Raw genomic sequence first — 22,514 nt, forward strand, 5'->3', positions numbered from 1 at the left:
GCGTGAGGTATCTGATGTTTCCATTTTTCAGATGAAGACACTGAGGCTGGAGGGGGTCACACAGCTGGAAAATGGAATCTGAACCTGCACCTGTTCTCTTTCCCGAGCCCGACCTCGCCCGACCTCACCCACCGTAACAAAGTCACAAGGCCCAAATGGGCCTTTCGCATCAGCTCCCCACTACTTCTGGGTTCCGCCCTGGCCCGGGGCCTCTGGCCACTACCTTGGTTGAGGTAGGTCAGCGTCTCTTCATGCAGCTTCACGGCTGGGGACGTGGCAGCACACAACACATATTGCAGGGGTGGCAGGCGGGCCTCGTTCTCGGGGGACAGCTGGGGTTCCTCCTGCTTGAAGATGGGCAGAGCGAGCACATCACTGCAACACACGGGAAGCAGAGGTCAGGAGCAGAGCCCCAGGGGGCTCCTGCACAGAGCCAGGGCGAAGCTAGAGAGACGACGCAGACCACCGGGGCCCAGGGTGACACGGCACGCGCATCGCAGGGTGCTGGCTGCACTCCTGCAACCCTCGAATACTCCAGATGCTTTAAAACAGAGGAAACCGCTCCTTCGTGACTCTAGTTTCACTCAATGACCCCCCAAAACACTGATTCAATCAGCCCATCAAGGAGGTAAAAGGGCAAAGTTAGCTAACATCTACAGAAATCCTCTCCATGCCAGAGACAGGCTAGCAGCAAAGGGACCTCTAAGACATTTATTTGGTTTCTATCCACAAGCGATCACTCATAAAGTTTCACTTTTAGAATAAAAATCTAAACAAACATTTTTATTTTTTAATCAACAATTCCATTTACCGGCCACTTCTCATAGCAATACAACTCTGTCCTCCAGGCTCTGTAAACTATGCAAATGAACAAACCACTTCCTTCCCTCCCTGAGTACCCAGGTTGAGACATTCCTCCATCCCTTCTAAAGAGAGGACAACTGGACACTGTTTTCAGGGTCATTCTAATCTGTCCAAAAGGCAAACAGGAAGGAAGGACCTTGGCTTCAAGTCTGTGTTTGTGTGGTTGTTTTTTTTGGGCGGGGGCGGGGGGGACGGAGTTTCACTCTTGTTGTCCAGGCTGGAGTGCAAGTGGCGTGATCTCGGCTCACTACAACCTCCACCTCCCGGGTTCAAGCAATTCTTGTGCCTCAGCTTCCTGAGTAGCTGGGATTATAGGAATGAGCCACCACACCTGGCTAATTTTTGTATTTTTAGTAGAGACAGGGTTCCACCATGTTGGTCAGGCTGGTCACTAACTCCTGACCTCAGGTGATCCACCCTCCTCGGCCTCCCAAAGTGCTGGGATTACAGGTGTGAGCCACCGCGCCCAGCCCAGTCTATTTTCTTATCCAAGTGGGAAATCTTGAAATCCTTGCTCCAAGTTTCTTTTCCTCCACCTCTTAACAAAACTCTCCACATTAAAAAAAAAAAAAAAAAAAAAAAAATGAAGTCATCATCCTGCGACTTAGGGAGGAACTTGTTTCTGGACGTATTTTTTAAGCCAGGAACAGTGGCTCATGCCTGAAATCCCAGTACTTTGGGAGGCTGAGGTGAGAAGACTGCTTGAAGCCAGGGGTTTGAGATCAGCCTGGGCACCATAGTGAGACCCCACCATCTCTAAAAAAAAAAAAAAGGAAAAAGAAAGAAACAAAAAACCCAGCATTTTAAAAATGCCCTTACAAGGGACAAAGAATTCCTTGAGAACATGAATGACCTACAGGCAGGCAAGGCTTGTGTAAGGTCTCTAAATTATGAGCAGCACATAAACAAGTGCCAAATAAGTGCCAGTGCTCTTATCTTGATAACCCTCTTCCCTTCGTGGGTCCCTGACTAGGAATCCAATTAGCTGACCCCACTTGTCTGTATAAACAGAGTCACTGGTACAATCTGTTCCTCGCACATCATAAACAAGCGTCTCTACAACACAAACCCGGCACACACCCCATCAACATCTCATCAATTTTGAGAAGAAAAAGCCTGGCATTGAGCACACACCTGGAAAACCTGCCCTGTGTGGGCCTCCCCCGTCACCATCCACTGCCGAAAAATAAGGGTGCAAGGCCGTCTCGACTTTCCCCCACAGGGCGTCTTCCTTTTGTCAGAGCAGGGCACACTCCCAGCCCGGGTGGTTCTCTAGGAACACTGAGGATTGCATAATTTCATGTTTGCCCAGACCATGTCAAGTTAATAATCCACGGACTGCTGCCTTTAAATTTTTTAAACAGGGGCGGGTGGGCAGAGGAAGTTAAGAACCATCCCTCAACAGTAACTTGTTTCAAGCCTGGCATCTTTATTTGCCAAGGAATAAAAGTCACGAGAACATCAAACAGAAAGGGGGAAGGGAGTAAAGGCCTCTACCCTGGTGAGGTCAGACAGCTTGCAGAAGTTCTGCCAAGTGAGGAGACGACCAAAAATAAAATACAAAAAACGCAAGGAAAAGGACCAGACCCTCCCTCTAGAGTCAGGGGACCAGGGGCATATGCACAAACCGCCACCTTGGCCCTCACTGAGGGCAAAACTCCCAGCTTCCAAGAAGTGAAATAAAAAAGGGCAAGGACTTCTTTATCCATGGTCCCCCGATGACCCCAGAAGCCAATATGGCTTTACAGCACCACCCACTCCCAACGCTCACCCTCCTCCTTTCACCAAATCCTAAAAGGTACCTGAGCTACTCCAGACAAACTTCCATCTCGGTAGCAGATGTCAGAACTGTACCTCCCAGGCAAGGGAGAATTGTTCCCTAACGGGGTGAGGACATTGTAGGTATCTAGGAAGTTTCAAGTACACTCACCTTCAACTCAGGGTCACCTTCAAACTCATTGTTAAGATATGGCAACATACTTAATGGCAGCAAACTAAAACTTAGCCAAAGCTACAACTAAAACTTCAGTACAGTAAAAATGTATTCCATTGTAGCATTTCTTGCAAGTGAATGGACACTTAATCTCTGGGTGATTAACATCTCCTCCTGGGCTTCCCTCTGGTGACATCACCGTGGTCTGCCGGGTGGCTGTCAGCCTTTAAGGCTCTAGACCTTTGCCATCTCCGACTACTTTGGCCCATGAATAAAAACAGCAGATACATCCACTAAACCCAATCATTCCCCCGCCTCCAGGAAAAGGGGATGTCTTCAGGGAGGACAAATACCTACCAGCAGCCAGGAATTACAAATAACGTTTTAAGATCTAAGTGGGAACTTCTTGGGGCCAAAACTAGCACTTAAAGGTAGCTCTAGTATGGGGGCTGTCAATGCCTGTGACTCCTTCGGCCTCATCATTCATTTTCCTTGAGCCCATATCAAATGCCCTTTGGGTTAAATTAGGCACATTTCATAAACTGTGACTAAGATGGAAATAAGGACAGGCTAAAGCTGGTTCAGGCGAGTTCACAAAGTGAAATGACTGCCCATTAGTCCCGGCCAGCAGCAGAACAGGGAAAAACAATCCTCCGGGAGCGAGAGCACACGGGGTCCTACTGCTAAGAGGGGCCTGTGGGGAACTGTGCAAAACACGCAGGACTTACTTTCCCCTCTGAAGGGCACTACTCAAATCCCTCCAGCAGAAGAAAGATTTCCATCAAGGGCAATAACCACGCGGGCCTCGGGCGAACACGCGCAAGACCATCGCGGGAAGTGGGGCGGCCTGCCCCTCCGAGCCCGCCGCCCGCCCCTCGTCCAAGGAAGGGCACTGCAGAGGGCGCGAGGCTGGGAGAGGGGCCCCGGCGGAGACGGGCAAAGAGCAGGGGACGAACTTCCCCGGGCCGGGCACCAGGCTGCTGGCAGGAAGTTTCCTCTGCTTCTCCGATACGCGGGGGAGAGGAGGGCCGCAGGGGGCGGACGGGCCAGGGGAGGCGGCGGGCCGGCAGGTGCGCGCCCTGCACCCTCTCTGCCGCCTGGGAGGAGCCCTCGCAGACATAGGGCTCTGCGCGCTCGCCTCCCCAGCGGGCCCCCAACTCCGCACGTCGGGTCCCGCCGGCGTCCATCTGTCAGTCCCTAGGCGGGACGCTGGGCGGGTCTCTCAGTCCCCAGAGGGCGGACAGCGGGGAGGCCAGGGCCCAGCAGGGGCGCCCCCTCTCCGCCCCTGGACGTCCAACGGCGCCCGGCCCGCCGGCCCGGCCCGAGACCCGCGGGGACCGCGCGCGGCCCTTACCGCAGGTAGCTGCCGGAGTTGTGCTGGTTGTAGTGCTCGGGCTGCGTGTGCCAGAAGAGCATGGCTGGAACTCCCAGCGCGCCGACCGGGGCGCGGCAGCAAGCGCAGACGCGGGGCGCGCCGAGGACCCAGCGGCGGCTTCGCGCTCCGAACCCGCGGTGCCGGCCGGCTCGGCGCATTTATCGGCGGCCCAGGGGCGGGACAGCGGTGAGACCCGCCCCCCAGGAAGCGCGGCCCGGAGGGCGGCTCCCCGCGGCAGCCGCACCTGGCTGACTCCCGCGCGTGCCTTTCCGGCGAGCGAGCGCGCCTCCGGGGCGGCCAGACCAGAGGGCTCTAGGGCCGGCCGGGTGCTCTCCCCAAACTCCGATGTGGGGCTCAGGTGACCCTTGCCGCCCCCAACCCGCTCCACACGGCCCCTCTGGCCTCTGCTCCCCACTCTACGCCCAGGGCCGGTCTCCAGAGCGGCTCCGAGATTTCCAGCCTAGGCCCTCTCTGTCGCCTTTCCTCGCTCTTGTTTTTTCATAGCACTTCAGACGCTCTGAAATCATGGGGGTTTTTTTGTTGGTTTTTTTTTTTTTGAGACGGGGTCTCGCTCTGCCACCCAGGCTGGAGTGCAGTGGCGCGATCTCGGGGCTCACTGCAACCTCTCCTCCCAGGTTCAAGCAATTCTCCTACCTCAGCCTCCTGAGTAGCTGGGATTACAAGCGCCCCCCATCACGCCTGACTGATTTTTTTATTGTTAGTAGAGACGGGGTTTCGCCATGTTGGCCAGGCTGGTCTCGAACTCCTGACCTCAGGTGATCCGCCCACCTTGGCCTCCCAAAGTGCTGGCATTACAGGCGTGAGCCCCCGAGTCAGGCCGACATTTTTTTATTTTTTATTTTTACTTGTGTACTGATTGTCTTTCCCATTAGACTGTAAGCTCCAAGAGGACAGGGCCTGGCTCGCTTAACACCCCGTTACCTGCACTGCCTAGAACAGTGCATGGGACATAGTTAAGATAAATGTTTGTTGAGTAAACATAAAAAAAGAAAAAAGGAATGCACCAAAAGAGTAATCAGAGAAGCCTTCCTGGAGGAGGTGACATTGAGCTGAGACCTGATGGATGCAAAGGAAGCATCTCTGTGAACATCACCTAGGGAAAAATAGTTCCAGGCATAGTTCCCTACCCCCTTGGCAACAGTGACTGCCAAAGCCTTGAGGAAGACCTACTTGGCATGGCTGGTCTTGAGGAGAGCTTAGGAGATGAGGTGAGGAGGGCGGGGAAGATCAGAGGGCCTGGCAGGCCAGGACAAGGAGCTAGGATTTTATTCTGTGTTTTAAGCAGAGGAGTCACATGTATGATTTGCCTTTTGGAAAGATCAGTCTGGCAGCAGTGTAGACAGTGGGTCATGGGGTGGAGGGGAGGGCCATTAGGAGGGAGTGGAGTTCCCTGGAGCCCTGACCCCTATCCAGGTGCTATCCGGTTCTCCAGTACATGGCACAGCACCTGGCACAGAGGAGATGGGGATTCTGTCCCTGAGTATTAATCCAGTCAAATGACATCCCTTGGGGACCTGGTCCAGAACTCCCCACTCCCCCACGCATGGATGTGGGTAAAACCCTCCCTCACTCTGCTGTTCCTGCCCTCCTCCCTCCAGCCATAGGTCACAACTGGCAAACCACTTCCTCTGTGCAGCCCTCAAGGACTGCCCCCCACTGTTCTGCCCTGTTAGGAGAATGGGAATATTTCCCCGGCTTCAGGTGGTGCTGTCAGCAGACAGTCCCCCAGCCATCGGCTTCTCCAGGAACTGCCCCTGCTCAGAGAGCAGCCTTGCCCTCTGTCATGTCCCTCCTGGGATAGCCCACATCCCAATGACTATCCCAGCAGAAGTATAAAAGCTTGGCCATCTCTGCCTGACTGGGGACAGTGCTGATGGGGTATTTTAGCCCCAGGACTCCCCATGAAGACAGTCAAAGCTGTCACAAGACCTGTGTCCTGCTCAGGGTCTCCCTCCTGCTTCCTTCCAGTTCCTTGCCCAGGGGTTACTCTTAAGGGAACTTCCAAAGAAACATCCTGAACACCGACCCCCACAACCAACCTCACCCCATCAGGGTCCATGACAAACCCATTGTTTAAATGGGAGACACTCTGGGGTGGTCTGGAAAGAACATGTCCTTTGCTGGACTCGTCCTTGAGTTCTAACAGGAGAGGTCCATGGGTAAGCAGCAGTGACAGTACAGTGTGGTCAGGGACGTAGAGGCTGCCCTGGGAACACAGAGGAGGACTCTGGAGCTCCGAAGAGGCTCCAGCATGAAGTGATATCTCCTGATGGATGGGTGAGTGGAAGTGAAACCAATCTGTGGAGATGGAGGGAGGTTTCCGGCCCAGTAGACGCTCCTGCAAAGGCCTGGAGGAAGGGCAGTCAATATTATTAGATGGTTCAGACCTGGGTTTACTACTTAGCTCCATCTGAATCTATGACCTTGGGTGGAGTAAATTGACCTCATGCTGCTTCTCCCATCAAGAGGTGGTGTCTGTTTCCCTCCCCTCCCCCTTCCGCCTGGGCTGACCCTGTGACTTACTTTAACCATAGAATGCAGAGGAAGTAATGCTTTTCCCTTCTGGGCTGGCCCCTAGGCAGCTTCTCTTTTTTTTTTTTTTTTTTTTGAGACGAAGTTTCTTGTTGCCCAGACTGGAGTGCAATGGCAGGATCTCAGCTCACCGCAAGCTCTGCCTCCTGGGTTCAAGCGATATTCCTGCCTCTGCCTCCTGAGTAGCTGGGATTACAGGTGCCTGCCACCACACCCAGCTAATTTTTTATATTTCAATTAGAGACGGGGTTTCACCATGTTGGCCAGGCTGGTCTAGAACTCCTGACCTTCAGGTGATCCACCCACCTCAGCCTCCCAAAGTGCTGGGATTACAAGCATGATAGGCAGCTTCTCTTAACTCTCCCAGAGCTCTGAGCCACCAGGTAGAGTCCAAATGCCCCATTGGAGAGGGAGACCTGGTCAGCCTCCAATCCCTCTGGCCACTCCGCAGAGCCCATCTAAGATGCCCCAGGGGATTGCCTCCAACCACACCTCATAGAACTGAGGCAAGCCCTGCCCACCCAAGCCCTGCCCAAAATGCAGGCTCGAGAGCAAATGGATGGCTGTGGCCTTACGCCACTGAGGTGTGGGCTGGTTTGTTTCATACAAATGGAAAAATGATACGCTGGGCCCTGTGGATCTGGGTTTTGCTATTGGGAATAATAAGGGCTCATTTCATGGTTGTGGTGAAGCTTAGGTTCAGGTGAGTTTAGCTTCTCAGGGATGATGGCTCTCATGACCTAAGTATGACTCTCTGTATTTTGGGTCATTGCCTACTTTCTCTCTCTTTGTAGGTTTTTAACTATGGGAGGGTAGAATTCAGCAATGCCTACAGAGACAGCATTTGAGTCACACTGTGTGAACAAAAATGCATATTTCTGCCCATGACTCTTGGGTGTTACAGGGCCCAATTAGGCCTAGTCTGGACCCCTGGGGCTTCCAGGCTGCTGAGGAGGAGGAGACAGATGTGCAGGAGATGGCCTGCCAGTTCCTCTTTTATTCTGTGAATGTTCACAGTTCCCATGTGGTGGGAACATTGATTTTTACTATGCACCAGACCCAGAGCCATGCACTGTCATCTCCCGACACTGAGAAGAAGAGACATCACCTGACCTTCTGATTGAAGAAACAGGCTTGGGAGGCTGACTGCCACAGCTGGGATTTGAGGCCAGGCCTGTAAATTCAACAACCATACTCCGACTCTCATCCATTCCTGTCTTAAGGCCCGGCATTCCTTTCTTCACCCCACACTGGGCAAAGGTGCTGTGACCAGATGTCCTCTGCTCCCAGGATCAGCCCGGGGTCCCTGCAGAGGCAGCAGAAAGGGGCCCACTGAGTACTCAGGTGTCACCCCCTTAGCAGCCCCACAAGGGATTCCCAGCTGCTCTCGAAAGAGATCACGATGAATACTGGGGATTCACGTCTGAGAAGATGGTTTTGAGGCATGAATAGGAGTTGAAGGATGGCCAACGTAGAGGGCGGAATTGAGCCAGAGGGAAAGCGTGTGCACACATGTTTATCACAGTTTATCTTGGGATCAGCAGCGCTGAACGAGGGAAGCAGTGAGCAGAGGACAGAGTTAAGCTGTGAGGCCTCAGTGGATCCTATATGAGCTCAGGGCCAGGCTGGTGCTCCAAGTTGTCCAGAATTTGGGCAGGGGTTCAAGCCTTTCTATACCACCTTGACCAGTCATGGACAGATGTGGTTGCCCTGGGGAAGGGACATCACTTTGGGCAAAGCAGCTCAGCTGAGTCCTGGAGAGGGACCTGTCAGTGTTATCACCTGCCAAGGCTCCCTGCAGCAGGGGCTTGAGTGCCGCAGCTGGAGAGGGACACTTTGGCTGGACATGACAGCACCCACCACGCTCTCCAAGCTCAGAATCTTTGTTTATGGAATGAAGATGATGATGCCTCCCTGATGGAGCCGTTGGGAGCATTAAGACAGTGATGGAGCGTGCAGGGCAGGCTTGCCTGGCTTCTCTAAGGCACTTTGCTTTTCAGCCCTGGGTCAGCAGTCTCGCTTTAATTTCTTCTTGAGTGTTCAACAGCATGTGGTTCATCAAAAGCCCTGTGTGCTGGTAAGGATTACATTCTCTGCAAGTAACAGAAACCCCAAAATGAAGTGGCTTAGAAGAGATAGAGGCTTATTTCTCCCTCAAGTTCCAGAAGTCTAGAGTTCATGTCACCCGCTAAGGTACCCTCTTGGCACATACGGCTGTTGAGCACTTGAGATCTGGCTGGTCTGCATCGAGGTGTGCTGGAAATGTAAAACCTGTATATAAAAAAGGAATGTAACCTAGCCCCTCAGTAATTCTTATACAGATCATATAATAAATAACAATTTGAATGTATTTGGTTAGATACAATATTATTATGAAAATTAATTTTACATTTATTTTTACTTTTTTTTTTTTCTGAGACAGCGTCTTGCTCTGTCGCCCAGGCTGGAGTGCAATGGCGCGATCTCGGCTCACCACTACCTCCGCCTCCTGGGTTCAAGCAATTCTCCTTGCCTTAGCCTCCCGAGTAGCTGGGATTACAGGTGCCCTGCCACCACACCCGGCTAATTTTTGTATTTTTAATAGAGTTGGGGTTTCACCATGTTGGCCAGGCTGGTCTTGAACTCCTGACCTCAGGTGATCCACTGGCCTCGGCTTCTAAAAGTGCTGGGATTACAGGCGTGAGCCACCGCGCCTGGCGTATTTTTACTTTTTAAACATTTACATACATGGCTGGTATTTGTGGCTTGCATTATATTCTTTCTTTTTTTTTTTTTTTTTTGACAGAGTTTCTCTCTTATCGCCCAGGCTGGAATATAATGGCACAATCTTGGCTCACTGCAACCTCCACCTCCCGGTTTCAAGCGATTCTCCTGCCTCAGCTTCCTGAGTAGCTAGGATTACAGGTGCCCACCACCGTACCCGACTAATTATTTTTTGTATTTTTAGTAGAGATGGGGTTTCGCCATGTTGGCCAGGCTGATCTCAAACTCCTGACCTCAGGTGATCCGCCCGCCTCGGCCTCCCAAAGTGCTGGGATGACAGGCACGAGCCACTGTGCCCAGCCGCTTGCATTATATTCTTATTGGATGCAATTTGTCCCAGAGCAGCGGTTTCTCAACCAGAGGTTGTTTTGCCCCCAGAGGACAATGGCAATCTGGTGGGTGGGAGTGCTATTGGTGTATGGTGGGTGGAGGCCGGGGATGCTGTTGAACATCCTATAATGCATAGAACAGCCCCCACAACAAAGAATTATCCAGCCCACAATGTCAGTAGGACTCAGGTTAGGAAACCCTGGTCTAAAGGTAATAGGTTGTACAATGGAAGGGAAGCCTTCTGATGCCATGTTTGTTTGCCAGGTGAACCTTCCATTTGCCGGGTCGTGGCACAGTCTGAAATGGCTGCTGGAGCTCCAGCCACTATGACAGTATTCCTGCCAGCCACAGGCTGAAGGAATGGGAGAAAAGGGCATACCTCTCTCTGAGGAAGATGGACACACCACTTCTGCTTTTTTCCTATTGACTAGCACATAGTCACCTGGCCTCCCCCTTGCTATACGGGAGGGAGGCTGGGGAATGTAGTCCTTATTGGAGTGGCATGTGCCCAGCCAAAAAGCAGAGGTTCTTACTGAGGAAGATGGGAGAATGGATTTGAGGGGGAAACTAGTACCGGCCATACTCTGCCAGGGGCACCAGGCGTGGAATGTTATTCCCATTTTACAGATGAAGAAACCGAGGCACTTTGGTGAGGGGACTTGCCAAGACACAGAGTGAATGACAGACCCAGGCAGGAACTGAGGCCTCCCGACTACTGACCGTCTCTTCATACCTTGCTGTCCTGCAAACTTGGCTCCATCACATTTGTATCCTTGAACCCTATTTTCCAATGGCCCATATTGTCATCTCAGATGTGGTTCATCTTCATGTCTGATCCTAGCTTCTCAAGAGAGGAGAATGACTTTTCCAAGATGTTTCTTCAAATTCAGATAAAGTCCCACGTGGCCTTCAGAGGATCACCCCAAGCTCAGTTTCTACGCTTTAGCAAATGTACATGGTCACATGAGATGTTAACAGAGGGGGAAACTTGGGGAAGGGGATATGAGAATTCTGTTTATTATATTGCTAACTTTTCTCTAAATCTAGAATTATGCCAAAATACAAAAATTTATTTTACAAATCTTTCTTCGGAATTCAAATGGTCAACTTAAAATTTGGGCAAGTGTGGTTTGGTTTTCCTAAAGCAAAACTCACCTGCATCATTGACATTAGTCATTTTGTCATGCACCAACTAGCCTTTGTGTGGGGCTACTACTGGGTGGGGGTATATAGTCTGGGCTATTTGGTGCATGACAAAATGGGGGCAGGGCAGAGACTGGGTAGGGGCATACTCTGTCTCTCTCTCTCTCTCTCTGTCTCTCTCTCTCTCTCTCTCTCTCTCTCTCTCTCTCTCTCTCTCTCTATATATATATATATATATATATATATGTTGTTTTTTTTTTTTTTTTGAGATGGAATCTCACTCTGTCGCCCAGGCATGAGTGCAGTCATACGATCTTGGCTCACTGCAACCACCGCCTCCCGGCTTCAAGTGATTCTCCTGCCTCAGCCTCCCAAGTAGCTGGGATTACAGGTGCCTGTCAACTCACCTGGCTAATTTTTGTATTTTTAGTAGAGACGGAGTTTCACCATGTTGGCCAGGCTGGTCTCGAACTCCTGACCTCCGGTGCTCAGGTGATCCACCTGCCTTGGCCTTCCAAAGTGCTAGGATTATAGGCATGAGCCACCGTGCCTGGCCTACATATGAGATATATATGTATATATACACACACACCCCCACCTACTCAGGGGTATAGCAACTCCTCCTAGACTGGGTGGGAGATAGATAGATAGATAGATAGATAGATAGATAGATAGATAGATACATAGATAGATAGATAGCTCCCATCCAACCTGGGCTATTTGGTGCATGACAAAATAGAGAGAGAGAAAGAGAGACAGAGAGAGAGCGCATGCTGGATTGTGAAGTACAGTGGTGTGAGCTTGCTCACTGCCCCCTCAAATTCCCCGACTCAAGCAATCCCTACACCTCAGCCTCCCAAGCAGCTGAAACTACAGGCGCATACCACCACACCTAGCTAATTTTGTTTATTTTTTACAGATGGTGTTTCACTATGTTGTGCAGGCTGGTCTCAAACTACTGGAGTCAAGTGATCTCCTGCCTCAGCCTCCCAAAGTGCTGGGATTATGGGCATGAACCACTACACCTGGCCATATGTTTGTGTGTGTATATATTTTTTTTTTTCAAAAAAGATGGGGTGTATTAGTCCATTCTCGCATTGCTATAAAGAAATACCTGAGATTAGGTAATTTATAAAGAAAAGAGGTTTAATTGGCTCATGGTTCTGCAGGCTGTACAGGAAGCATAACATCTTCTTCTTGGCGTCCACTGAGGCCTCAGGAAACTTCCAATCCTGGAAGGCAAAGGGGGAGTGAGACGTTTCACATGGCCAGAGGAGGAGGAAGAGAAAAGAGAGGGGGAAATTGCTACACACTTTTAAACAACCAGATCTCGTGATAACTCATTCACTCACTATCACGAGAGTAGCACCAAGGGGATGGTACTAACCCGTTCCTGAGAACTCCACCCACTTCCAGCACTGGGGAGCGGGAAATTACGATTTGACATGAGATTTGGTGGGCACATAGATCCAAGCCCTATCAGGGGGTCTCACTGTATTGCCCAAGCTGGTCTTGACTCCTGGCCTCAAGCAATCCTTCTGCCTTGAACCCCAGTCCCTCCAATGCAAAGACCCTGCTCTGACTCTCCTCCTCCTCCCTCTCCGGCCTAGATTGCTCCCATCAGTCCTTCCAGCAGCAGTCAAGTATTCTCATTCTGACAAGGGCTGCCCTGCTCCCTGCTCAGTAGTCACAGCGAATTGCCCTGGGTGGAGTTGGCCACATGCACTTTGGCACAGTGCCCTCCCTCTAGGGCCAAACAAACACCCTGTTATCTGCTTCACACCTCCTTCTGCAAAACGCCCTGTTACAGGTGCCAGTCTCTGCAGGGGGCCACGGGGAGCAGCTCTAACCCAGGGACTGCGGCTCCAGAGACATGGAGGAAAGCAGTGAGTGAGACTACACAAAGCCCCTGGCTGGGGGCACGGCTGAGGCCAAGGAGGGAGAAAACACAAGTGCTCCCCATTCATTAGCCCGCTTAACTCTCAACATCCTAGGGAGGTAGATGTCATCACACCCACTTCACTGATGAGAACACCGAGCCCCTGAGATTCAACAACTTGTCCAAACTTGCACAGCTGGAGGACGGTAGAGCCAGGACAGGGCCCAGGGTGGTCCGGCTTGAAAACCCAGGCCCCATCTGCTGTACCAAGCTGAAAGGACAGGTCAGACAAGAAGTTGGAAGAATTTTCTTGAAGAATTCGACACACTGGGGGCTCCCCAGCGAAAGAGCACAGCCAGATCACCCTATAGTGACAATGTGTCAACAGCCCCTCCCATACACTCTGAGCTACCAGGGCAGCTCCCAATATGAGCAGGTAATCGTGGATTGCTCAACACGTGAAAAGGGGCTCTACCATAAGAGATAGAGACCAAAACACAAATGCAGTCATGGGGTGTTGGGGACCAGAATCAAATGGGAGGAACTAGAGACTGCACACAGAGAGAAGACATTAAGAATCTGTCAGGAGCCGGGTGCGGTGGCTCATTCCTGTAATCCCAGCACTTTGGGAGGCTGAGGTGGGTTGGATCACTTGAGGCCAGGAGTTTGAGACCAGTCTGGTCCACATGGCAAAACCCTGTCTCTACTAAAAATACAAAAAAATTAGCTGGGCATGGTGGTGCACACCTGTACTCCCAGCTACTCGGGAGCCTGAGGCACGAGAATCGCTAGAACCAGGAGGTGGAGGTTGTGGTGAGCTGAGATCACACCACTGCACTCTAGCCTGGGTGACAGAGTGAGACCCTGTCTCAAGGAAAAAAAAAAAAAAGAATCTATTGGGTATTGGGGCCAAACACAGTGGCTCACACCTGTAACCTCAGTGCTTTAGGAGGCTGGGGCAGGAGGATCTCTTGAGGCCAGGAGTTCAAGACCATCCTAGGCAACATAGTGAGACCTGTCTCTACCAAAAAAAAAAAAAATTTAAAAAGGAATCTCTTAGTGTTGGCATTGGCCATCCCTGAGCTCTAGCTCAGGAAGGCAATGGATGGTCACTGTGTCCTTTGGGCCAGCCCTCATGAATAGCACACACACTATGCACTGCAGCAGCTCTCCAGCATATGGTTGCAGAGTTTGTGCTCTGCAAGAAGCACTAGCCAAGGTGGGGGCTAGGAGACCCGAAGTTCAGCCCGTGCTCCTCTCACCAAGCCATGTACCTGGCATGGGGCTGCACCACCTAGAGGAAAATCACCAAAAGTACCACCTGCTCATTCATCTGAGTGCCCATGTCTGTACCCACCTGGGGCCACACAGGCTGTTAAGTTTCTGTACTTTTTACACCTCAGCTCTTTGCCTCTCTACTGTTCCCACTTCCTAGAGCACTTGCTCCTCAGTGTCCTCCTCCCTGGCCCTAGTTTGCCTAACTGACTTTCATGAGGTTCAGCTCAGCATCACCTCCTCCAGGAAGCCTTCCCTACCCGCCCAGAAGAGTAGGCCAGGTGCTCCTCTCCTTCACTCTAAGCTCTGTAGATGTTGGTTCAGTACAACCTCACAGCCCCACAAGTCCAGGCTTAAGATGTCACAGGATCCTTAGGGTGTTGCTTCACCAGCCAGAGACCTCTGTGGCTGGTGGCACCTCTGCTTGGGTTTTGCTTGCACCTGCTGGGCTCATTCCTCCCACTCAGCCTGGCAGGCTGCATTCGGCTTGCACTACCAGCCTGGATCCCACACCTGCTAAGGGTGGGATCCCACACCTGCAGGTGGGAGTGTTGAGGGGTGTGTGAGCAAGCGAGTGTGGGGTCCGGCCACTGCTCACAGCCAGGGGCACCAACTGTGGCAGGGAGGGCATCTCCAGGCGCTGGGTCCATGCCAGGCTGAGGGTGGACTAGACATACCACAAGTGGCTTCTGCTGCGGGCACCAGCATCTGGACAGGGGGAATGTAATGGCACCTGAAAGCTCGGAGACACTGGGAACTGCAGAGCCCCAAAGAGGGTGTTAGAGCCTGTCACAGTCCTGGTTTGGGGAGCCCTGAGGTCTGGGCTCCCAGAAGGGCCACAGCTCTTCTCTCCTTCTTGTTGCCCATAATGTGGTGAGCAGGGGACATGCTTCAGTCTTGTTTGTTCTACAACTCTTTCAGTCCCAGTATTCATTGGATTGCAAGTTCTTGTACTGCATCTAGGAAGAATGAGGTATGCAGACAACTGGAGGGTTAGCAAGGCAGAGAGGAGCGTCACTGAACAACAGAACAGCTCTCAGGAGACCCAAAGTGGGTAGCTCCTTTCCGCAGGCAGGTCATCCCCACCTGTGTGTGAGTCTGGCTGAGTCTGGGGTTTTTATGCGCTCAGAATGGACGAAGTGCATGCTGATTGGTCCATGGTCAACCATGGGCAGGCCTGGAAAAAGCACCATCCAGTTGGCCAAATGGTCATCAATGAAGTTCTCACTCTGTGCTGTGGACTTCCTCCAGAACTGGCAGCCTTGCCCCCAGGCTTCAGGCCATCCCTGGCCTGTAGGTGGAGTTTCACCAAGGACCCATCCTTCCCACCTAGGAACCTGTCTGCTTCCTGCTGTCATCAACATGTCATCCACGGTGCCCAGGCTGTTCACACTAAGGGGCAACTGCAGGCCCTTGCTGAGCTGCCCTCAGGCCCCTGGCCTCCCTCCCATGCTCGTCAGTGCCCAAGGTCTGGAGGGGGCTGAGGTGAGGAGGGGGCTGGTGTGTCAGCTCTGTGCCAAGCATGTGCACAGCCAGCTGGGTTGCAACAGCACCTGGGCACAGCCACAACTTTGCTCCAGAATCACAGCAGGCCCCGGGAGTGAGAAGAGGCCTGAGAGCAGGAGCAGGCACTTCTGAGCCTGTGGGGGCCAGGAGATTCTCAGGCCCCTGAGAGTACAGGGATGCCCCGGTTTGAAGCTGTGGCTGGGTGGCTGCATCCATGCCTGGGAGTACAGGGGTCCCACCCTGCCAACTCAGTAGGGGGCAGGCCTCCCACCTGTTCCTGCCCCACCAGCTCTGGAGAGAGCATAGCCCCACCTGCACCACCCCTGCTGCAGCTGGTGTCCCCACAGCGGCTTCTCCAGATGGGCTGCCACTGCCATCAAAGAGAGAAGAGAGGACAAAGCTTGCCAAGAAATGAGGTTGAGCTTGGGAATAAGACAAGCCTGGCTTCAAGTTTGCCTTTGTTACTTACTAGTTCTGAGACCTTGTTTAGTCCGTTTTTTTATTGTTGTTTTTGTTTTGTTTTTTGGGGTTTTTCTGTTTTTTGTTTTTTTGGAGAGAGGGTTTCTGTCATGCAGGCAGGAGTGCAGTGGCACAGTCATGGCTCACTGCAGCGTCAACCTCCTGGACTCAGGTGATCCTCCTACCTCAGCCTCCTGAGTAGCTGGGACTACAGGTGCATGCCATTATGCATGGCTAAGTTTTATATTTTTTGTAGAGACAGGGGTTTCACTATGTTGCCTAGGCTGGTCTGAAACTCCTGGGCTCCAGTGATCCACACACCTTGGCCTCCCAAAGTGCTGGGATTAGAGGCGTGAGCCACTGCACCTACCTTTGATTAGAGTCTTAACCTCATTTATCTTGACTTTCTTCCATGTGAAATGGGACTACTTCCCAGGGAAGTTTTAAGGTTCACGTGAGATATTGTGAATGAAGTGCCCGGCACAGCACCAAATACGCACTAGGTGCTCAGTTAATGTTTGCTTCTCTTCCTTGGGTTCAGTCCTACCCAAAAGCATGGATGGCGTGTGTGTGTCTGTTGCCTGCCGAGCATGGTCTGATATTGGAGAAACGTAGTCTATGCCCCCGCTGAGATCAGAGAACAGCAGCTGTCCTTGGACTGCTCCTACTGTGCTGCCTCCAGTGGTCAGAGGCAGGGATGCCATTCCTCATTGCCTTTTCTGTGAATGCAGCAGGCACTTGCCACGGTTGCCTAGAATCTTTTGTGCTCTTCCCCATGCTTTGTTGACAGATATTTCATTAAATCTAAGCTGCCATCAATTGTAAGATGCATCATTATTTTATGGAGCAGTAAGAGGAAATGCAGACAGTTAAACACAGGCATAATGCTTTCTTATCATTTAGCATTTGTATTTTGTTCTTGAAAGATCTCATTTAAGGCCAGGCATGGTGGCTCATGCTTGTAATCCCAACACTTTGGGAGGCCAAGGCGGGCAGATTGCTTAAGCCCAGGAGTTCGAGACCAGCCTGGGCAACATAGGGAGACTCTGTCTCTACAAAAATACAAAACAATCGCCAGACATGGTGGCTCGTGCCTGTAGTCCCAGCTACTTGGGGGGATGAGGGATGAGCTCCAGCTACTTAGGCATCAACTTGAGCCTGGAAGTTTGAAGATGCAGTGAGCTATGATTGTACCACTGCACTCCAGCCTGGGCAACAGAGTGAGACCCTGTCGCAAAAAGGAAAGATCTCATTTCTATTTAGTGAAGTGTAGATCTCTCTTGTGCATATATTTTAATTTTTTGAGATGGAGTTTCGCTCTTGTTGCCCAGGCTGGAGTGCAGTGGCATGATCTCGGCTCACTGCAACCTCCACCTCTCAGGTTCAAGCAATTCTCCTGCCTCAGCCTCCCGAGTAGCTGGGACTACAGGCATGTGCCTCCACGCTCAGCTAATTTTTGTATTTTTAGCAGAGATGGGGTTTTACCATGTTGGCCAGGCTAGTCTCGAACTCCTGACCTCTGGTGATCCACCCGCCTCGGCCTCCCAAAGTGCCAGGATTACAGGCGTGAGCCACCGCGCCCAGCCCTTGTGCATATATTTTAAAAGGACCCACATTTATTGCAGAGTCTTCTGGATCCCTTTTATACTCAGAATCGCCTGTGTTGCTGGTTTGGCACCATAGGCGGTGCGCTGGGCCCTGATGAGCATTGGCGTTGCAGCATTTTTGAAGAGAGTGCTTCACCGTTGGCCCAGGATTTCCTTCCAAGCCGCTGATGCCCCCTCTGCACTCTTTCAATGCAGATGCTCTCTTGGTCTTAGGCAGAGATTTCATGTGTGTGCAGGCAATGTCAACCACATTACCAAACTGCCAAATGGCAGAGGCATCACCAACTGTCAGAAGCATCCTGATTTCAGAGACATGAAAATGTGGGGAAAATGTGTGTTTTAGAATCAGTGAAATACACTGGCTCCCCAAAACTGTGAATCCTGTCTTTTTCTTAAGGTCAAAATTTGGTAAGCTACATTTCCCAGCCTCCCTTGCAGGCAGTGACCCAACTTCCGTCAATAAGATGCACCCATAGGAGGTTTTGATTTGGAAGCAACATGAGGAAGCAGGATGGGTGGAGGTGGTCTGTTGCTGGTATAGGAGGCAGCAGAGACAGTGTTTCTGGGGTTCATCACAGCAATTAAGCAGTGCGTTGTTTCTGGAAGCTTTGCCTGGACCTGCTTTTTTAGCCCTTCTAGCAATTCTGGTGGGGATAAATTCCTCTCTGCCCCTACTAGTTAGAGTTGCCCACTTAAAATCTTTTTTTTTTCTTTTTGAGATGGAGTCTTGCCCTGTCACCCAGGCTGGAGTGCAATGGCACCATCTTGGCTCACTGCAACCCCCTCCTCCTGGGTTCAAGCGATTCTTCTGCCTCAGCCTCCCGAGTAGCTGGGATAACAGGCGTGTGCCCCCGCATTCAGCTGATTTTTGTATTTTTGGTAGAGACGGGGTTTCATCATGTTGGCCAGGTTGGTCTGGAACTCCTGACCTCAGGTGATCCACCTGCCTCAGCCTCCCAAAGTGCTGGGATTACAGGCGTAAGCCACTGTGCCAGGCCCGCTTAAGATCTTTTATTTCCTTTTTCCTTGTTAACAAAACCCTGATTTTACGGGGTGTCAGCAGTGTGTGCCCAGCTAAAAAAAAATCTGTATTTCCTAGGCTCCTCAATGAGAGGGCTAACCACATGACTAAATTCTGGCCAATGAGATGTAAGAAGAAGTTGATGGGCGGAGCTTTGGGGGAAGATTCCATAGCAGGTGAGCTGGCCTCAGTGTGTCCCCCAAGGTAAGGTCCCTCAGATGTGTTGTATGGGTCAGCTTCCCAAACTAGGGTTTCCTTTTATTATTGTTAGTTGTTGCCATAGGGCACATATTTGAGGGAAGTAGCTTCAAAAACAAAATCACACCCTGAAATATTTATTTGGAATTCTGGTAAGGCAACAAAAATATGAAGCTTGAGGTTTCCTGCTGTTTATTGATAACCTCCACGGGAGACAGGGGACATTCTTTTGGTTCTGTACACAGGTTTGTACATAGCATGTTTGTACACAATCCCCATTCAGCATGATAGGAGTCTCTAGGCACAAATTGGCCACGTGTTTCTGTAGATAATGTTAGTGCAGAAAAGATTTGACAGGCTAGAAGCTGACTCTATTGCCTTGCCTTTTCTTTTCTTTTTTTCTTTTTTTTGAGATGGAGTCTTGCTCTGTCGCCTAGGCTGGAGTGCAGTGGCACGATTTTGGCTCACTGCAACCTTTGCCTCCTGGGTTCAAGCGATTCTCCTGCCTCAGCCTCCCAAGTAGCTGGGACTACAGGCTTGCGCCACCAGGCCTGGCTAAGTTTTGTATTTTTAGTAGAGACGGGGTTCACCATATTGGCCAGGCTGGTTTCAAACTCCTGAACTCAAGTGATCCGCCCGCCTCGGCCTCCCAGAGTGCTGGGATTACAGGCGTGAGACACCGCACCTGGCCTGCCTTGCCTTTTCTGAAGTAAATTTTGAATTATATGACCACTGACTTTTGTTTTATTTTGTATTTTCAAGCTTTGTCACTGAATTCTTTAATGTCTGTCTTACAGAAAACCCGTATTTGTAACTCCACAAATGCTGATTTTCCTCACATTTGTCCTGTACCCCTTTTGGTACCCTCAGAAGTTGATTTTGGTTTTCATGATGGGACTGTTTCTTAGTGTTTTGAATTGGAATAGTTTTGCCTCCTGAAGCTTTAAAATATGGTTATAAGTTTTTTTGCAGATTAGGTGGTCCTGTGTAGCATTTGTTGCAACATGCCATGCCTGTTTAACACTGGATACAGCACTGGCTCATTACATTCTGTTGAACCTAGTGGTGAAATCTGGGTAGGATTGTTCCCACCTAAAAGTTCCTAATACTTTATACAAATACATTTTATAGCAAAGGAAGATGGGAGAGAGAGCCAAATCAGTTGACCAGCCTCCTTTTGCCCTTGCCTTTTCTGCTTCCTCCCTGCTTTGAAGGGAGATGTGAAGGCTGGAGCTCAGGCAGCCATGTTGGGAAAGCTAGATGCCCATTCTAACGTTGAGCAGAAATACAAAAGGAGCCTGAATCCCTGGAGACATCATGGAGCCATCACTTCAGCCTTGGATTACCCATCAGATCCTAGTTGATACTAATCGATCCCAATTTGGTATCTCAAAGGGGGGCTGCAAGTTACAGAAATCTGCAGTTTGGGAATTGGCTGAATGGAGAAGGTTGGGTTTGGGGCTGTAAAGGTTAAGTTGTGGTGAGCTGAAAGGAAGGGGAAGGGAGGAAGGGAAAAGAGAAGGAAAGGAAAGGAAAGGAAAGGAAAGGAAAGGAAAGGAAAGGAAAGGAAAGGAAAGGAAAGGAAAGGAAAGGAAAGGAAAGGAAAGGAAAGGAAAGGAAAGGAAGGAGGGAGGAAGGAAGGAAGGAAGGAAGGAAGGAGTTTTCTGCCCACTGGGAAGATCTAATTAAGGGTGTTGCCTTTCCACCTGGACTTATTGTTTCAAATGACCTCAAGGCATGGGCAGAGGGGGATGGGCAAAGGGCAGAGATCATCAGTTACAGAGCCCCAAATTTTCAGACTAAAAAAAATATTTTTACAGTAAGTATAATAGTGATGGGATTAGCATCCAGAATATATTAAGACTATCCATAAATCAATGAGAATGCAACAAACCACCCAGTCACATAATGGGCAACAGAATTGAAAGGACATTTGCTCAGAAGAGGGAACACAAATTGCCTGTAAATACATCAAACATAGCTCAACCTCATTAGTAATCAGGAAAATGAAAATTCTGGCCCTGAGATAAGATTTCAGTCAAAAGACTGGCAAAAATTTTCAGAAGACATCAAGTATCGGCCAGGATATGATGGTGTACATTGATGTAACACTGCAGAAAATAGTCTATCAGGAAACAGTCAAACACGTACATACTCCATGACCCAGTGATTCCACTCCTAAATACACAGACCTTCTCTACTTATGCTTACAATGATTTGACGTATGATTTTTCGACTTTGCAATGCTGCAAAAGTGATACACATTCAGTAGAAACTGTACTTCGAGTATCCACATAACCATTCTGTTTTTCATTTTCAGTAGTGTATTTAATAAGTTGCATGAAGACTGGGCATGGTGGCTGATGCCTGTAATACCAGCACTTTGGGAGGCCGAGGCAGGTGGATCACTTGAGGTCAGGAGTTCAAGACCAGCCTGGCCAACACGGTGAAACCCTGTCTCTACTAAAAATACAAAAATTAGCCGGGTGTGGTGGCCCAGCTACTCAGGTGGCTGTGACAGGAGAATCGCTTGAACCGGGGAGGCAGAGGTTGCAGTGAGCCGTGATCACGACATTGCACTCCAGCCTTCGAGACAAAGCAAGACTCCATCTAAATAATAATAATAATAAGTTACATGAGCTATTTGATACTTTATAAAATAAGCTCTATGTTAGATGTTTTTGTCCAACTGCAGGCTAATGTATGTGTTCCGAGCACATTTAAGTTAGGCTAGGCTAAGCTATAATATTCGGTAGCTTACGTGTATGAAATGCATTTTCAACTTACAATATTTCCAGTTAACAATGGATTTATCAGGATGTAACCCTATCTTAAGTTGACAAACATTTGTATTTTCTGGAGAAACGCTTGAACATGTAACCAGGGATCTGTTGCAAAAAATCTTCAGAGCAGCAGTGCATATAAAAATAGGGGCAGTTGGCCGGGCGTGGTGGCTCGTCCAGCACTTTGGGAGGCTGAGGCGGGCAGATCACGAGGTCAGGAGATCGAGACCATCTTGGCTGACACGGTAAAACTCCATCTCTACTAAAAATACAAAAAATAAGCTGGGCATGGTGGCGGGCACCTGTAGTCCCAGCTACTCGGGAGGCTGAGGCAGGAGAATGGCGTGAACTTGGGAGGCAGAGCCTGCAGTGAGCCGAGATCGTGCCACTGCACTCCAACCTGGGGGACAGAGCAAGACTCCGTCTCAAAAAAAAAAAAAATAGGGGCAGTAAGGACCCATGATCAACTGTAGAATGGCATAACGTTTCTTAGCAGTGAAAATGGAATCAATGTAGCCACTGCATCAACATGGTTCAATCTGAGAAGCATAATGTTGAAAGGAAAAACTCAAGTTGTAGGAGGATTTTTTTTCTATTTGTAGAAAGTGCAAAAAGGGGAAAAACTCAACAATATAATAGAAAGAAATATGTAAATATGTGGGAAAATGTAAAGAAAAGTAAAGGAATGGTTAATACAAAATCAAGATTTAAGTCCCCCTGGGGAGAGAGAGAGGATGTGACTGGAGAGGGGACCCGGGCTTCTAAATTGTATGTTCTGTTTCTTAACCTAAGTGTGGGGGGTGGAGTGAGAACATGGGGGTTTGT

At 50.2% G+C, this 22,514-nt stretch overlaps 1 protein-coding gene across 6 annotated transcripts in view, besides 1 other annotated feature; it reads right to left on the reverse strand.

Moving 5' to 3' along the window:
• Positions 1-4,306, reverse strand: part of TFCP2L1 (transcription factor CP2 like 1) — a 68,616-nt gene extending 64,310 nt beyond the window's left edge. For 4 of the 6 annotated variants that reach the window (XM_017003902.2, NM_014553.3, XM_017003905.2 and 1 more), the window contains exons 1-2: positions 4,152-4,306; positions 224-375 (exon numbers count right to left, since the gene is read on the reverse strand). In XM_017003902.2, coding sequence (XP_016859391.1) covers positions 224-375; positions 4,152-4,213 — 214 coding nt within the window. In that variant the 5' untranslated portion in view covers positions 4,214-4,306. Of the gene's footprint in view, positions 1-223; positions 376-1,998; positions 2,749-4,151 lie in introns of those variants that run through there. The other 2 variants (XM_047444020.1, XM_047444021.1) reach the window with 2 other exon arrangements.
• Positions 4,332-4,471: a silencer, noted in NCBI's record as "silent region_11920". NCBI's record gives its function as "represses an Ori minimal core promoter by ATAC-STARR-seq in GM12878 lymphoblastoid cells {active_cell/tissue: GM12878}" and the evidence as "EXISTENCE:reporter gene assay evidence [ECO:0000049][PMID:35858748]".

The sequence above is a fragment of the Homo sapiens genome, chromosome 2 (genome assembly GCF_000001405.40).
Source record: "Homo sapiens chromosome 2, GRCh38.p14 Primary Assembly".
Lineage (NCBI taxonomy): Eukaryota > Metazoa > Chordata > Mammalia > Primates > Hominidae > Homo > Homo sapiens.